At 46.0% G+C, this 15,864-nt stretch overlaps 1 protein-coding gene across 6 annotated transcripts in view; it reads right to left on the minus strand.

Annotated features, from left to right (window-relative positions):
* Positions 1–15,864, minus strand: part of FRMPD2 (FERM and PDZ domain containing 2) — a 118,337-nt gene that overhangs the window by 13,580 nt on the left and 88,893 nt on the right. For 2 of the 6 annotated variants that reach the window (NM_001318191.1, NM_001018071.4), the window contains 9 exon segments: positions 856–1,070; positions 2,808–2,955; positions 4,732–4,817; positions 5,708–5,801; positions 7,909–8,013; positions 10,665–10,870; positions 14,428–14,544; positions 14,636–14,743; positions 15,415–15,507. In NM_001318191.1, the coding sequence (NP_001305120.1) occupies positions 856–1,070; positions 2,808–2,955; positions 4,732–4,817; positions 5,708–5,801; positions 7,909–8,013; positions 10,665–10,870; positions 14,428–14,544; positions 14,636–14,743; positions 15,415–15,507 (1,172 nt within the window). 6 annotated transcript variants of the gene reach the window in all.

A 15,864-nucleotide genomic window follows, 5' to 3' on the forward strand; every position in this document is an offset into this window, starting at 1 on the left:
CACTGTCCCCCTTTGTCCATCTTGCTTTGTGTTTCTGGAGCTGACTTATAAAGGCTGCATGAGGCTTCCTGTTGGGCTCAGCTAGGGGAACACGGCAAGAGACCAGAGACAGGGAGGAGCGGAGGTCATTGCTCCTTCCAAATTCCTCCCTTCAGGTTGCCATGGGACGACTACAACCTCAGCCAAGGTGAGAGCTCATGCCAGCGAGTCCCCTCCAACAGCTCTCCATTCCTGGGGTGGAATAACTGCTCTTTCCCTTCCCCTTTGGCCTCAGGATAGGGGTAACTGCATCCCACTCTTCCTAGCCCTAGGCCACAACATGCTCCCTTGAGCTTCCTAACAACCTGCCCACACCTTTATTAAATGTTCCTCAAATGACTCCATTTTCTTCCAGGACTCTGTCTAATATATACAGTATTTCATTACTCTCTCTTCTTAAATTGCATTTTTTATCATAGACAGGACAATCAGTGTAATAATGTATGAAAAGCTGTAAATGTGTTGAGAAATGGGAAGGAGAGCAGAAAGGGACCCACTCTAGTCCCTTCAGCCCCATGCCCACCTCCCAGGATGTGTGTGAAGAGACGTCAGCCAGCACAAAGGCCAGGGCTTTATCTTCAGCTTCTCTCATGAACCCAGTGAGAAGCAAGGCTGACTCAAGGTCAGATATTTAAAAACAGAGATTTTAAATTAAATGTGAGCATGTACCACTAATTACTCTCTTTGTGTGATTAAAATCCGGGCTGCTGGTATGATTTTTGAGAGCCCAGAGTTTTCCCCACGGCAGCAGGCTAGTAAGAGGCAAAGCTGGGGCCAGCCTGCACAGAGAGCTGCATTGCCCATGACCCCCGGCACCTGGAAGATGAGGCCTTCCGTGGACCTTCCATTCACGGCCAGGATAATGTCACCAGCTGCAATGGCCCCATTCTCCTCAGCTGGCTGCCCCGGAAAGAGCCTCTTAATCCTCACAAGATCACTTTTGAGATGGCTGCAGCTCTCTTTCTCCATCTGCACGAAACTGAATCCCAAACCATTGGCATTCTTTTTTAGTTTGACTTCAAACTTAGGACCTGTAGTGTGGGATGTTGATAAAAATAAATTCTTCAGTAGATTACAAGTGAAATTGACCAGTCTCAAAATGCAAATTGTCAAGTAGATGAATTATTTCTTTTACGTTCAAATAATTCCTTTGCTAATTTTATGACAGAGTACATTATGTATGTTATAGATTAGTGCTGTCCAATAAAATATAATGTGAGCTATAAATACAAACCACAAATGTCATTTTGAAGTTTTCAAATAGCTACATTAAAATAAAAGGAAAAAGCAAACAAAAAATAAATAAAACAATTTAAAAAGTAAAAGGAAACAGGTTAAATACGCTATAATCGTACATCTAATTTAATCCCATATATCTAAAATATTACCACTTCAACATGTCATCAATATGAAAAAATTATTAACGAGATATTTTTTATTCTTCTTACGAACTAAGCTTTCAAAATCCAATACATATTTTATCCATTTAGATTGGTCACATTTCAAGTCCTCAATAACCACATGTGGCAAGTGGCTACCATATTGAATAGCACAATTATAGATAACTCAACTATGTTTATACATAAAGATATAGCTGCTAGGCATACACAACATGCTCTTGGCATTTAATAAAACTTGTATCACATACATTCCTATTACTCCTTTAGAACTCTAGTCATTTGTAGTATACTTGAAACTAAATTTTGCATAATTAGACCATGGAGAAAATTATGGCCAATTCTATGGACAATGCTTTAGCTGCCATTTTGTTTACCCATGTAGGCTGACCATAAGACAAAACAGTTGCCTCTGGGCACCAAGGATGAACAGAGCTGGCAACCTACATGGTCTGTCCACCAAAGAGGCCTCTGGGCTGCCCCGCTGGCATCAATGCACAGAGGGACAGAGCACAGCTTGCAAACTTCACCAGGGCAAGAATGGAAGCATGTGAAGCAATTATGTGAAGCAATTATGTGAAGGTGTGTCACACGACCAGTTCTACCATCGCCCTAAGGCCTCCTCCACTCTTTGGAGTCCATTTCTCAAAGGCCCCAAGGGAGTGAGCAAAGGGGTGAGGACAGAGGAGACTTGATTTAAACAGAAGCATGCCCCTTTGCCCCACCCCTACCCTATGGCTGGCTTGAGTCTTCTGCAGCAAAATCAGAAAATCTCTATGAAGGGACTAAAACATGGCTAAGGTCCAAATCGTTCTTACTGAGGAAATCAGCGTGTTCCTGGCAAATACCAAAATCACAAGGGAATTGCAGAGGGGCAGCCCATCGGAAAACGTGCAGTTTTGTCCCTCTAAACGATCTTTCGTTTGCCTTTTAAAATGATGCTAATAACAAGGCTAGATTCCTGAACCTTCTCTCCCAACCTGCCTAGTCATTCCTCAAATAACTTTGTTACAAATGACTTGGCTGGACTGTGAAGCCAAATGTATCTGAAAGTGTATGACCCTTTCAGTCAATTTCATCCTAAATATTCACACAAACATTAACATTCTGGCAGCTGATCAAAGGACTGAGGAAGGCTGGGGGCAGAAAGATGCCTAGAAATAATTTGGGGAAAATGCATTTGTTTCCAGAAACCTATTCCATGAGATGGGCTTCCATGGCATGAAAAAGCAGATCTCAGCATGATCACTATGGCTCGCTTTCTTTTCAGGACCCAGAGGAAGCCTTCCTGCCTTTCCCTTTTGACTTGACAATTCAAAAGCGGCACACAATAACATGACAATAGTAACACTCAATTCTCTCCCCTCTCACCATCTGTCACTGAGACACAGCTCGAAGGCCTGCCAGGCAAGGCTGTTACCAAGGAAACAGCCGTGCGTTCATCTCCCATGCTGTCATTAGCAGAAGGACACTGCTGTGTACTCCTGGGGACTCTTCTCTCTAAGACCAGTCTTGCAACCTAGAAGGAAAGGTGAACAAACTCAGTTTACACTTCATATGGCAACCAGGAGGCACTCCCTTGACTCTGCAAATGCTTCTTAATTTTCGAATCCTTCCTATAAGCAGACTCATTTGAATCTCTCAACTAGCCTATATATTGGGATCTAGACCCAGATTTCTCAGTGCTTATTAGACAAGTGCACCTGAAAGCAACACATGTACCTCCACTTCACACATGCAGTGCCACACTCATCTTCCTCCCCTCACTCACCCTCACTTCCCCTCCTCGTTCTTCCTAAAACACTCCTCCCCTCGCATTGGCTCACCCCACCATTAACCTGCCAAGGGCCACATTTGGAGTGGTCCAGCTCTCCCCCATCTGGTTTCTAAGATGTGAACATTCCCCATCAAGAACAGCTCCTCAGTGCCCCCTCCCCTCCACCTCCTCTCTCACTGCCAGTGACCCGCTGGGCCGTGGCAAGCTCTGGTTACCTTGGCTCACTGGACCCTGTCTGCACCCTTCTTGGTCCACCCCATCATGGCTGCCAGTGAATTGGTCTAAGACAAAAACTGAACATGCAACATTCTTGATTTAAAGTCTCCAATGCTTCCCATCACCTAAGACCCAAACCCATGGCACCCCAGGTCTGTACCACCTGCCCTCCCCTTTCTTTCCAATGTGATTTCCCACATTTCTCCCCACAACACCATATACCCTTGTCGCCCTAAGTGTGATTCAAGAACCAGCAGATAGACATCACCTGGAAGCTTCTCAGAAATGCCAAGCTCCCATTCAGGGCATGTGGCCCTGCCTTCATCTTCCTGTTGCACCTGTCACTCAGCACCTGGCCCAGGATCCCAGAGGGACAATTCCTACCTGCTTAAGCTGCCAGGAGGCCAGCCAAGTACCCTCTCTACCCATGCTCATTAGCAAAGGTCTAAATATCAGAAGGTGCCAATAAATTATGGCTCTGTTCTCAAGATAGGTCAACCAAAGTCACTAATATAAGCAAATTTCACCAGACACCAGAAAACCGCTTTGGGAAAGAAAGCGAAAAGTGGCCAGAACATTGCCCCAAGCTTGCTGGAAGGGCCTTCAGGAATCCCTCCTGTCTCTGTTGACTTTTTAGTTGCCAAAAGAGGGTGATGCCAGCTCTGTGGCTCAGGACACAGAGGCAGTTAGAGGCTCCTAACCTCAGGCAGAGGACTCGGCACAGTGGGATAACATCGAGTCACTGCGGGGCAGGGAATAAAGGGGACATAAAGGATGAATGGCTCTGCTCTTGGCACCCTGAATTCCTACCTCATTGTGAGGAAAAGAATCCCAGGACACTCTGACCCACGCCCTGGTGGGTACAACACAGGGTGAGGGGGAATGGCATGAACAGGGAACGGAGTGGGGTCATCCTATGCAAACGTAGGGAGGTAAGAAGGCCCATGGACACAGGGCCAGCGGGGCTGGGGCAGCCAGAGCCAGGCTAGAGCAGTCTCTTCACTCCATCTTCTCCATTCCGCTGTCTGATTCCAGAATTCAGGCAAGCCACCAGTAAGTTTCTAAGGCTATCTATGGGGGGTGAGATTTTTTTTACTCAGAAACATCTATCTGCTATCTCCTGGGTTTCACATCCCCATAGAAAAGTGAGGGTAAGAAGAAATGGAAGAGAAAAAAAAAACTAACAAAGAAAAAGTCTTGTTTCTTGCCTGCCTCCCTCCCACCCAGAGGCGATTTCAGCTTCTGATGTTGTTCAGGAAAGTTCCGGAAGGAGGGGAAGCTGGTCAGCAACAGTCCACTCACCTGCCCAGGACCCGTCAGGCACTGCACAGCCTGCTTGTGGGTGAGGCCGCACAGAATCACTCCATCCACCTGCAGGAGTCGGTCACCTGGGAAAGGGATAGATGTCATGTCATGACCTGGTGCTTGAGGCTGCAGGAGGTTCCCTTCCAGGAGGCCCCTGCCCGGCACCCCTCCATGCAGCCTGGAGAAGTGGGAAAGGAAGCTGAGGTGCCAGGTGTCCCCCTGGAGTCAGCAGGAATCCTGCCTCTCTGAGCAGTCTCACTCCCTTCTTCTCAGGCACATCACAGATCAGGGATATAAAAGCCTTTCTATTATTGGCTCACAGAATGGTTGAGCCAGCTCTGTTCAACCTTATCCTTCCTCCTGTTTTCCTGTGAAACCATTTTTGGAAGTATTTTCAAGTCACTTAGATATTTATATCTCCAGCATGTATTTTTTTTATTTCAAAAAAAGGTCAGGGAGGCATGGTTGACGCTGGGGACACCAGAATTCTAGGGGAAATGGAGATAAGTAAGATCCTAGGTTCCCCTTTTGGCTCAATTCTGGCAGTTTTGGAGACCAGTAAAAATCACCCCCTTCCATCAGAGAAGTGGGAGCTGAGCAAGGGCAAACAGAAGGCTCAGGTGTCCTCCCCGGATGTGCGAGTGAGTTTACCGAGGCCCACTTGTCCTCCAAGGGAAGCAGTATGTTTTCCCATGGAGGCCAAAGAGCAACACAAGTCTTTTAAGTCTTCTACTATTTTTCTATCACCTATGCTTCCCAGTGTGCCACTGCAGACCCCCCAACCTATCAAATGGGCAGGGCAGGTTCTATCACCTCCTTTCCAGGTGAGAAAAGTATGACCTGGGGAGGCAATCATTTGCATGAGTTTTCAGAATGGGAGCAGGGCAAGGCCTAGAGGCTGCCCCTCCCAGTGCAGGGCTCTTTACACCATGGAGCACAGAGTTCCCAATGAGGACCCATCCCCATCTCTCACCCTGTAGGATCTGCCCTTCCTTGGCAGCTGGTCCTCCAGGAACAATGGATTTCACATAGATACCACCATATGGCACACTGGTGTTAATGCCACCCTGAAAAACACAACAAAAAACTCACCACCCATCTTTCCTCCTCCAGGAAGCCTCCCCAACCTCCCCAGCTAAGGGAATCCCCACCTGCCCACCACTCTATCCCATGACCTTACCTCCGACTGGCACTGTCTTCTGTATTCACCTGTTCGTTTAGATTGTATTCTCCACTGAGCAATAAGATTAGGTGTTCATAAGCTTAACAATAGCAACTATGTGAGAGATCTGGGCATGTCCCCAGCCCAAGCACTGGTACAAGGCGGGTGCTCAGCAACTGCTCACGTGGGATGCACCACTATCTCTATATAGGTAGTGACCAGCGTAGGTGGATATGGCTGTGGGCCTGAAGGCTTGTGCCTGGCACGTCTTGTGTGCTTTGATGGGCCAAAGGATATGTGCATTTTTCATTATAATACATGTTGCCAGATTGCATCCCTATGTGAATATGGATATACTTATTCACATTTCTACCAGCTTTGTATGACAGTACCATTTTTCTACATTCCACCAGCTATATTTGGCCAAGCTGGTAGACATAAAGTTTAAAATTTTATTTTAATTTAATTTGTATTCCTGTGGCTTTTCACGGGTTTGAGTGTTTTTCATGTGTTTAATGGCCATTTGGATTTGAGTGAGACATTTCAAGAATTATTTTTGAAATTAAATATCTGCAAAGAAAATCCAAGTTTTTGCCAGCCAAAGGAAATCATCAACCTCTTCTCAGCAAATATATATTTGTGAATAACCCAAAATTTAGTCAGTTTTTCAGATGAAAAATAGCTATGTTTGGTGTCTGATAAGGCTGTTACCCCAAGCCAAGAATAAATGGACCATATTTGGTATCAGCCTGTTCACTCCATGTGGATTCATGAGCCTTATTGCTTGGTTTCTTACTTGGTCCCTTAAAATCATCTACTGATGACAAATTCATTGCAGGCTTAGGGTCCAAGAAAACACATATTCTTGCTCTAGGTACATAGCATTATCACAGGGGAAAGCAAAGAATGCCCTCCATTCACATATCTCTTGAATTTCCTCTGAAAATTTTCATCAGCCATAGAGTGTCCTTACTTTGGTGGGAGATGTCATTCTATTTCCCATCAACAGTTAAATCCAACAATGACATTCCTGAAATCCAGACCCATTCCAGGGTCTGAAGGTAATGGATCACTTTTTTTTTTTTTTTTTTGAGACAGAGTCTCACTCTGTCGCCCAGGCTGGAGTGCAGTGTTGTGATCTCGGCTCACTGCAAACTCCCCCTCCCAGGTTCACGCCATTCTCCTGCCTCAGCCTCCCGAGTAGCTGGGACTACAGGTGCCCGCTATCACATCCAGCTAATTTTTTTTTTTATTTTTTAGTAGAGATGGGGTTTCACCATGTTAGCCAGGATAGTCTCAATCTCCTGACCTTGCGATCCACCCGCCTCGGCCTCCCAAAGTTCTGGGATTACAGTCATGAGCCACCGAGCCCAGCCTGTAATGGATCACTTTCAATACTCAGTAATAAAAGCAGCACCTTCCAACCTCTGACCTCTGGATTTTCACCAGCTTTGTGTGTGCCATTCCCCAACCCCTTGGGTAAACACAGTTATATGGGTAATCTCCTTTCACAAGGGTCTACCAGGCAGAGCTCAGAAACCAAATGGAAAGTGTCAGTCCTGATGGAGGCCTGGCCCTGGGATGTCTGAGCAAGAGGCTCCACACTGATTCTATGCTGGATGACAGTGGACTGCCCCACCCATCCTTGGCCAGATGACAGTGGACTGCCCTTCTTACCTTTAGCTTGTGTCCCTGAAGCCCCAATGTGCTTCTCTCTCTCTGCAGTCCAGCTTGACCTCAGAGTCAGGACACATCAGCCAACTCTGCCCACACTGCCTCCTCATGAGTTTGGAGTCCCCTAGTGCATGCCCTGCTCATCCTGAGGTTCCCCAGTACCTCTGTTTGTCTCTGAACTCATCCCCCAGTGCAGGCCCCCACTGGCTTTTTTATTTACCCCTTACATTTGTGCAAACTAAGCACACTGTCAGAGGTTGCCATCTGGGTGGAATGGCCACCAGGTTCTAGACGGACATCTTGTTAACTGCTTTTCAAGCTCTCCTAAAAACTCTTACAGTTACACTGAATCCAAGTGTCCCATCTTCTTTAACCAGTTCCACAAAGTAGATTTCACCAGCACTGATTTCTGGAGGTGATGGAGGACAAGAAGAACCAGCACCCTGCCATAAACAAACAAACAAAAATAAAGATGGGATGAAGGAAGATGTCACCTCTTAGCTCATACTGCTCTCAGGAGCAGGCAGCATTGCACCTCAGAAAGATCATGAGCTTTGGATTGGGCCAGCAGGGGATTCATTTCCAGCTTTATCAGGCCTTCTGCATGTGACCTCAGACAAAGCAGGAGGAAGATGAGGGAGTGATGGGCTGGGCTGATGCCACTTCTAGGCAGAGAATGCTTGGGTCACTGTTCATGTTCTGCTGTCCCTCTGCCTAGAAGATGGGGTCTTTTGTCCTGTCTGCCCCCTTTACTTAGTGCTTTCTAATCACCATGAATGTTAGAAAATTCTAACGACACGCAGGAAAATAGACAAGCTGGAGGAAGCTGAACAACGAAGCCTCAACTGCTGAGGTTGAGACCTGAAGTGAGAATCTAAAGTCCACCATACCACAGAGGATCATCTGGCCACAAAGTTGGCCAAGAGACCCAGAAGAGCCTGCAGCATCTGGGTTGGGTCCTACAGCCTGCACCATGGTCAACGTGGCCTTAGAGCTCCCTTGCTCCCCTCAACGGCCCCCAGCCCCAGGAAACCAACTCTCAGGTTTGCCACCAAAGAAGCCCCAGCGTGAAGGCCTCTCTGCTCTGCTTCCTGCCAGAGAGGACCTACCAGAGGAAGGCCTGGGGTGAAGGTTTCTGCTCTGGAGGCCAATCCGAATCCCAGCTCTGTCCCCTGCTCCCTGAGAGAGCTTGGGTGTGCTCCTTTGCTCTTTCTGTCTCAGATACCCCACCCATAAAAGGGGTTGATAATAGGAATGATCTCATTGGGTTACCATGGAGCTTCCATGAGCTAATACATATAAAGTGCTCAGGACACTGCCTGGCACACAGGTAAGCACTCAATTAATGGCAGCTACTATCGTTGTTCTTCCACTGGCCTCCTGCATCCAGTTCCTCATGGGATGTTCTGTCCAGGTGAGCACCATGGCCAATTAGGAAGGCACTGTCATTCATGGAGCCCTATTGCATGCCAGATCCTTGTGACAGAGGTCAAGACACACTACCCCAAAATAGGGCACCTTGGCACATTGGAGGAATTGGAGAAACAGCACATGAGGGAAGGTTTCTCTGACCTTCCCCTGCCCTTCTCTTCTGAAGCAGGCCCTAAAACCTAGGAAGGATTTTCTAATCTTCCCCCGAAGCAGGGCACAAGACCCTCAAGTGAGAATGCCCTCCCTATATCTGGAAAAATGGAGCATCTTATGTGGGAAGACACAGGGACTGAGAGAGGAATCTGAACAAGCAGGCCTTGCTGAGTTCCTCCCACCTTACATACTCCTGCTTTTTGTCTTATCTCATTTCTCCATGACTCTCCATTCTTCATCAAATATACTCAGGGAGAACTGTTTCTTCAGGTCATTTCCATAAGAAGGCTCACATGTCACATAAAACTTATAGTAAATACACGTGGATGCTTTTCTCTCATTAATCTGTCTTTAGTTACAGGGGTCCCAGCTGATGAAGCTAAGATGAGTAGAAGAAAGATACGGGTTTTATCCCCGACACTGGGCATAGTACCTTAGTTTCCACGGCTGTGGACAGACATCATTATCTCCATCATAAAAAGAGAAACGAGGTTGAAAGAGGTGCAATAACCTGCCTGTTTCAACCAGCAAGTTGTCCCAGCAAGAATGAGAAGGGCATACACTCAGCCTGAGTAAGGGAGGATAGGTCGTGGGAGACCTGTTTTCAAAGGTCTTGCCAGCCTTTGGAGAAACCAGTAATATCAGTTCAGCACCTGGGGCTGGAAACACTGGGTGCTGTGACCACCCCTGAGCCTGAAGGGCGAGAGAAGGGAGTGGTCGATGGACCCTGATAGGAGCTGTGCTCTTTGTAGAGGGGCACAGGCAACCTGTGTCAGCACAGGGAAAGAGTGGAATGAAGGGTGTGCAACTGAGACTCCAGCACTGCCACCCTGTCCTCACTCATCCCACAACTGCGGGCTCCTGCTGAGGCTTCGACTGGGCAGAACCAAGCAGAACACAGCAAGGTGACTCAGTCCATGAGCACCAGCTGTGCAGGGCCCAGAGCAGAATGGAGAGGCTGGGGCATGGGTCTGGCGGGGCCTGAGAAGACAACACCACTGGGAATCCAAAGAGACGGCAGAGGACAGCAGAGCTGGGACTGAAGCACACAGCCCTCCATACACCTACTCCAGATCCCATCTTCTTCCTCCATGGGGTATGGTCAAGAGCAAAGCCACTGAGTTCCCAGCTTGAGGACCAATTCAAGGACAAGAATAGGAGGTGCCTGGTTGCCCACGCCTTGCCATTGGCAGCAATCAATTTCCTCATGGTGCTATTATCACAACAATTATAATTAGTGACTAAAGACTCCAGAGGCACCCACACTGAGCCTGTGCCCAGACACTGTCCTAGAACTCTGCCTTCTTCTATGCGTTTTTCTCAACAACCATGCCATGCAGGCATTTGCTTCTGTATGCAAATGAGGAAGCTGTGGCTCAAAGGGGCTAAGTAACTTCCATCCACCTGACATGGAAAACAGAGAACAGGAAGGGCCTAGGGGCCAGGCTGTTGGGCTTCACAGTCTGTTCTCTTTCATCCAGATCTAGAAAGTAAACCAAGGGATGATTACCTTTAACGGCAGAAAGGAAAGCTGATGTCTCAGCCTGGGCACTAAGCTCTGCACCCCAGCCATGTCTAGTTCTTCAGTATTTCTGTCCTGGTCTTGTGTGTGTGACAACAAACTTCCCTGGTACCCGAAGCTCAGGATGTCTGTAGAGGAGACCCCAGAATTGGCTGTGCTATTCTTTTCTTCATCTGGGTTATTTCCACCAACACCTATAAAAACAAGCCAAGAAAAAGTCAACAGCTTAAAAAGGCCGGTTTCTTGGTGGCATCTCTATGTGGGCACAGCGTTTTCCTCCAGTGACAGAGTGATCGTTTATAGCTGCTCGGGTACAATATGAATTTAGCTCCTCCTGAAAGATGTTACATTTAGATTAGAGAAAGGGAAGATTCTACATGGGATTTAGAAACCTAGATAGAGCTTACGTGACCCAACTATGAATGCGTAGGCTCAAAAGAAGTTCATAAGGCCAGCTATCCCTTATTAAGCTCTAGCCATGTGATGGGCACCTTAGATATACATATAGGAAGATATGGACATCTTCCCATCTTCTCAGCAAACCCACCAGGAAGGTGTAATCCCAGTTCAAACATGAGAAAACAGAGTCAAAGCTATTAAGTGTCCTGCCCCAAATGCTACAGCCAGCATGTGGGAACTGTCTTAAACCCAGCCTCTCCTGGACACCCCACTGAGCACATCTGCAGCCACCATGTGATCCAAAAACCAACGTATCAGGTCCTTTTGGGAGGCTTGGTAATAACCAAACTGCAGGCCCCTGTGAGTGAAAGCTAGGCCACTGATTCCTGCTCACCCTGTGTCTGACTCGTGACCTGGCATAGAACAAAGAAAAGAACGTGAGGTTGTGAATCAGTAGAAAAACCTTGGGCAAGGTGCTTAACATAACTGAACCTAAATTTTCCTGTATCTAAAGTAGAGATAATATCAATATCAATAATATTGTAGAGTTGGTGAGGCTTAGAGATTATACGTACAGAAAAGATTTTACATATGTTAAGAAAGATAAAAATATATATGTATATATGAAAGAATATATATTCCCTCATATATATATATATATATATGGCTCTCATACACACACACACACACACACACACAGACACGCACAGCTTAGTACATGGTAGAGCCTCAATAAATGTATCTACTGTTAACATGTTATTATTAGCTGCTCCACAAATATATGTGGGAGGAATGAATAACAGTTAGATTTTCTTTAGACCTGGATACAAGTAGATTTACTACTTTTGATACAGACTCATTAACACTCAGGGAAGTGCCCAAACTCACATGCTGAATGAATTCAATTTAAATAAATCTGATTTAATGAATTTGATTTGAAGTTATTCAAATCTAAAGGTATCCAGCAGGGAGTGGCAGGGCCACTGTTTCATAATGCTGTATTTCTGGCCCTTTCATTCACAGATTCTGTCATCATTGTCCTTCTGGCAGTGTCATAAGCATCGGCTCATTCTCTTCCACATCCTCCATGAGAGGTGAGGATGGGACTTACGATTGAAATGAAAAGTCAAACCATGCTGCAACTGGTGTCCTGCCTAGTAGACATATGAGCTGGGAGACCTTTTTTGGTAAAGGAAACTCAATTTATTGTAGACCATGACAGATGCTCATGATGGACATTTTATCTGTCTGATCCTGATCTCCAATCTAGCCCAGCTGCCTTAACAGCAGCCTAAAGAGATAGAAGAAAGTCATGGTAGTCAAGTCTCTGCCACGGAGACCCAGCCAGCATCACCAAGGAAACATCTTCCTCTGGCAGTGGCCCAGCTATGAGGAAACCCCACCATGATGAAGGCAGCATTGCCAAAAGGTGGCTGGGGTGCCACAGTGAAAGGACATTTTATTCCCAGCCATTGTGGGAAACTCATTGTCTGGAATTCTAATGTGAGGTTGTGGTTTGAGAATAGCAGACCTCGAGTACTGCTTTTTGACAACCTCCATCACAGCAGGCCATCCTTGGACTATGCTGAATTGTGATTTGGTCACCTGCATTGTGTTTCCTGACAACACATGGGATGGTTTGACTGCTCCTGTCAGTGGAGGATGTGGAAGAAAACACAGGGATTGCTGAACCACTGCAGAAAGGAGAGCAGTGGTGCTGGGAAATCCAACAGACAGCAAGCCAGAGACTGGCATTGGAGATGTACTGAGGCCAGTCCCTGAGAAGGCTTCAACCCCAGGATGAAGGGTGTGGGGCTGAGACCCCAGCATGGCCACCTTCCACCACCCATAGCTTCTGGACAGGGGAGCTGCATGGCACTGTGTACAGGTACAAGAGTGAGAGAGCATGCATGCAGAAGTGTTCAGAAGGCAAGGCAAATGCAGTGCCTGCATTTAGTACCTAGAAAATGCTGGCTGGTGTGACAGGAAGTTCTCCTGTATACAAGGGAAAACTGTACAACACCCCTCAAGTGTGAAGAAGCAATCATGAGCCTGAATTTGCAGGCGGTCTGCTGTTAGTTTACAGGATCACCCAACCAAAAAGCAGCATTGGTCTCAGGAAACTAGGGAGAAGGGATGTTAGCCTACTCCCATTACTTCCTCCAGGCTCCTCAAGCTTGGTCCCGATAAAAACAATAGTATTTTCCTTTAATATAGGCAGTTGTTGCTCTCTCATTCTTATCTAAAGGATGAAGAAAAGCATCATCAAAAAGTACTTTACTCTTTAGGTTGATCAGGAACATGCACATCAAGTAAGAAGAGCGAGCTTGCCACGAAAATTCAGCTTTAAGAAAAGGCCAGGTGCAGTGGCTCATGCCTGTAATCCCAGCACTTTGGGAGGCTGAGGCGGGCAGATCACTTGAGTTCAGGAGTTCCAGACCAGCCTGGCCAACATATTGAAACCCCGTCTCTACTAAAAAATACAAAAATTAGCCGGGTGTGGCAGCGCGTGCCTGTAATCCCAGCTACTCAGGAGGCTGAGGCAGGAGAATTGCTTGAACCCAGGAGGTGGAGCCTGCAGAAAGCCAAGATCGTGCCATTGCACTCCATCCTGGGTGAAAGAGTGAGACTCCATCTCAAAAAAAAAAAAGGAAAATCAAATACCGCATGTTCTCATTTACAAGTGGGAGCTAAATAATGAGAACCCATGATCACAAAGAGGGGAACAACACACACCAGAGCCTACTTGAGGGAGGAGGATGGGAGGAGAGAGAGGATCAGGAAAAATAACTATTGGGCACTATGCTGAGCACCTAGGTGATGAAATGGTCTGTATAGCAACCCCTGTGACACGAGTTTGCCTGTAATAACAAACCTACACATGTAGCCCTAAACCCAAAACAAAAGATTAACAAAGAACAGTGCTTGTCTCCTCCCCAGCTGATTGCTATACCTATACAAAATATAGAAATTTTGTATAGGATTCTATACAAAATATAGAAATCCTGGAGCCGACCCTATCAACAAGGACTTTGGGTGGCAATAAAAAGGTCCTCCCTGCCATGCAAGGAGAGTTGACAGAAAAAAAAAGACTGGTTGTATCCAGCCGTGTCTAACAAAATTAGAGTAGGTTACTCCCTTTCAGCAAGACAAGCATGGTAACGCCCATTCTGCCCCTGAAATTGCAAAGCTTATTAATTTGTGCCACTACACTGCTTCTTTGCAAGCCAACACCATGAGGAAAGCAATATAGAAGACCTACGTGGACTTCAAGGTCTAGTACCTCACAGTAATCATGTACTCCTGAAAACAGGGGAGCCTCTTAAGCTCCCAAGAGTGGGTTAAAACATACCTTTTGACTGAGAAATAATTAATTCTATGTTGTCAGGGGAATTCTGGATCATCCTAACAGCCATGTTGAATGTGAAGCCCTCCAGACTGATGTGATTCAGGGCTAGTATCTGCCCTCCTAGAAAAATAAAACATCTCAATAATCCTTCAAGGAAATAAAAAAGAGTGGTTTCTTAAAACAGCATCTCTAGTAATTTAAAAAGATGTACCTGGTTTGATCGTTTTTGCTTTTTCTGCTGGTCCTCCAGGTATAATAGAAGATATAAAAATGCCAGGGTCAGCTTGGCCTGAATACTCTCCCTCATTAATGACAAACCCTGTAATCCAAGATGATAGTCCATGATAAGATGATACTTAGTGATTTTGCTGTTCAGAGAGGTTAGGTTATTTCCCTCATATCACACAGCTACCAAGTGGCATTAGCTGATAGTTACAGTCAGGTCTTCTGATCCTCAAATAGAGGATCTTTTCTACTTTACCATGATACTTGGAGAAAGGTGGATTGTTCCCCATTAGTAAGCACAGCTAAAGCTAGGAATACAAACCACCAATATGCACTGGATTTTGCTCCAGTAGATAATGAGACATAGGAAAGAAATGATTTTTAATCAAGTACCTTGTCTCCGTACCTTGTTTCTTCTACAGTTTTTCGGGTCTTAGAAAGTGGTCACTAGTAAGAGGTGAGATAAATTGACTCTTCTTCCCCATAGCTGACTAGAGGAATGTTGTTACATGGTATTAGGGGAAAAAATCTTTTTCTGCATTGTACTTAGATGCACCCCAAAAAGAAAAACTTGGAAACAAAAGTCCCATTGCTCTTTAGGAACAATTAAAGGGAGAAAAAAAACAGAAGTGATTACCAGAAAAGGCAGACTGGGAGAGGAGGGATAGGAAAGGGGAGTAGGCAAGTTGAAAGGGAAAACAGTACCCACCTCCCCACTTTGCCCAGCAGTAGAGACTGGGCCTCACCTACAGGGAGCCCTCTTACCAAAACCACGATGTGGGTCACGTTTCAGTGTCACACGTACAATTTCTCGGCCCGGTTCAGCTATAAAGCTCTTCCTCCTATTATTCTTTGAGCCTAGAGGTAGAATCAGAGCACCACATTGTGCTTTTCCCCCAAATTATTTGGGAGCTAATACAAAAGGAGTAAACAGCATTTCACACACATGCGCGCACACACATTCACACGCACACAATCCTGAAAACAAAAGTAGCTCATATTTAATCTCCCAGCAGTGCTGGGAATGGACACCTGAACACACACTCACATGAGCCTCTCTGGAGTGTCACTCAGTGTTGCTCAAGTTCCAGCTTAAAGAGCAGAGGCAAGAACAGGATGGGCTATGGTGCTTGTTTTCTGTATGACTTACTGTAGCTATTTTTTTCCGCATTGGTTTTGGGACAAGACAGAGGATGAGCAGAGATGTATTAATAA

Source organism: Homo sapiens, chromosome 10 (genome assembly GCF_000001405.40).
Source record: "Homo sapiens chromosome 10, GRCh38.p14 Primary Assembly".
NCBI lineage: Eukaryota > Metazoa > Chordata > Mammalia > Primates > Hominidae > Homo > Homo sapiens.